Source organism: Homo sapiens, chromosome 8 (assembly GCF_000001405.40).
Source record: "Homo sapiens chromosome 8, GRCh38.p14 Primary Assembly".
Taxonomy (NCBI): Eukaryota; Metazoa; Chordata; class Mammalia; order Primates; family Hominidae; genus Homo; species Homo sapiens.
The window spans coordinates 76,601,930-76,604,227 of NC_000008.11; the positions used below are offsets into that span (position 1 = coordinate 76,601,930).

General features: G+C 44.2%; 1 pseudogene; it reads right to left on the reverse strand.

The window, feature by feature from the left end:
* On the reverse strand, positions 898-1,944 carry MRPL9P1 (mitochondrial ribosomal protein L9 pseudogene 1; annotated as a pseudogene).

Genomic DNA, 2,298 nt, shown 5'->3' on the forward strand with positions numbered 1-2,298 from the left:
GGTTCGTGATAATGAATCTGAGGTAGGTTTGAGAGTTTGAGAGCTTGGAAAAGAAGCTGGAGTTCCTGAGAGCAATCCTGAGATAGTGACTAAGGAGGAGAGATGGAGTGGGGGAGGCAGAGGAGGGGGGAAAGGCCATTGAGTTGTATGAGGATAGGGTCAACATGGACTAAAAGGCCAGTGGTATTCCCTGGTGGCTTAACCCAGGCGTATTTTTAAATCAGACATAGCTTGTGCCTAATTTAGTTACTTTACTGCAATAGAAATCCTCCCCACTTTAAACTTTATTAAATTTCACTAAATCCACTAATGTTGGTGGGAGTGTTGTTGGTTGGTTGGTTAGTTAGTTTTGAAAGAAGTGAGAAAATTTAGCTTTACTGAGCAGAAAGAGAAACCTGGAAATACTAAGAATGCAAAATCCTCCCCCTGCCTGACTTCCACTCCAATCATTCATATTATGTTGCTTCTTAAATTTTCTCAGAGCATAGAATTTTGGGTTCAGGTCTATCTTATTCTGCTCTTGGGGTGTAGGAAGGCCTCAACTGAGATCCAGATAACATTGTAATTAAATATATGTTTATCATTACAAACAAGATGAGATAGCTACCTAATTGCTGACCCTAAACCCTCTAACTGGTAGATGCAGACTGGCAGTCTTTTCTAACAAAGCATGAAATTCAAGTGTCAGAAGAGACCCAAAGCTTACCTAGTTCTGTCTCCCCTTTGATCCTGAAATTCCTCTAAAACTTCCCTACCACGCGATCCATCGTTTGTTTGTTTTTTCCCTCTTGAATTCTTCCAGTGACAGAGAACTTAGTAACTCCTGAAGCAGGTTATTTCACCCAAGAAACTTAGCTTTTACCCATAGTCGTAGTTTATTTATTTATTATTTTTTAGGAACACAATCTCTTTATGTCAGCTTGAGATACAAATGTTCAGTTTAGATGATAAGAATGAGGAAAATACTGGAGACAATGTCTAGCTCCTGTGCCTGTCCCAGTAAACTCCAGTGGAAAAAGAAACTAAACAGGATCTGGATAGTTTCAGTCTATTGTATCCAGCTTATCAAATCCACAGCCTGGTACTTCTGGAACAAGGCTGCCCCAGGGATGACAGTTAAAGATGAAGATGGCAAATATAAGGAATTCAACATGTCTGTGCAGGGCAGTCTGATGTCTCCATATGTTCTCTAAAATTCCATATTTTGTCAGAGCTGGGAGTGAGAGCAGGGTGCTTGCCTGTTTGGGTCCCACTGCTCCTCTGATTCTGCTTTGCTGCCTTGGAGGAGAACAGGTTTAGATCCTCTAGAGGCTGGTGGGGCCATGCCCTTGGCAGCTTGCTGGGCTAACCAGTACTTCTATCTTTTGATTTTGGGCCTCTCAAAGTTTACCAGAGACATAGGCACCCTCACAGTACCAAGCCCATTTACCGTCACCTCACAACAGTACTTGCCCCACCGAGTGAGGGGCTCTTCCGGTAATTTTATTATATGGGGGTGACCACACCACCAAGATTCTTGAAGAAGTGGCAGGCAACTGTTTCAGGGTTCAGCTCCCGTTTGACACTGTTCTTCATCCCTACCTCCAGGTGACAGCTTTTCAGAAATGTCACTGTTGCCTCACCTGCCTTGGTCTGGATCTTCTGTAACTTTCCTCCTGGTCTCAGCAATTTCTCCTCTTCAAACAGCTTCTTGTTTTCAGGTGATGCATATGCAGCCAGTCTCTGAGAAAGGAGTTGATTCCGATCCACAGATTTCTTTACTGAGATCAGGTCACCCCAGACTCCAAGTGTCTCCACAGACTGTGTGAAGATGATCTCCAGATTTTCTTTGGGCCAGTGCTCCGTGTCCTCCACCAGCTTGTCGATGTAGTGTCGCTGGTGCAGACGCAGCTTCTGGCCCTCCCTGGCCAGTGGTACCTTCCATCCACCCAGTGCTCCACAATGCCGAGGGCACGACAGTCCCATAGTCATAGTTTATTCCTTTGGAGCCATATTGAATGACTGAGATTTCCGGCCTAGATGACTGTCAGCCTTTTCTGACTCTTCCCTTCTCCCATCCCAGGTTACACATCCCCAAAGTCAGCAACCATTTCTCTTAGGACATTCTGTGGGAACTTTTGTCATCCTGGCTGCTTTCCCTGGAAGAATTTCCCATTTGTCTGTAACCTTTAAAGTATGACAGCCACACCCAAACATTATTCCAGGAACTTTCTGACCAACACAGTATAGATCCAGATTATCACCTCCGTCTGAACGGACGCATCATTCCAGTAACATGAACTATATTTTAGTCATTCT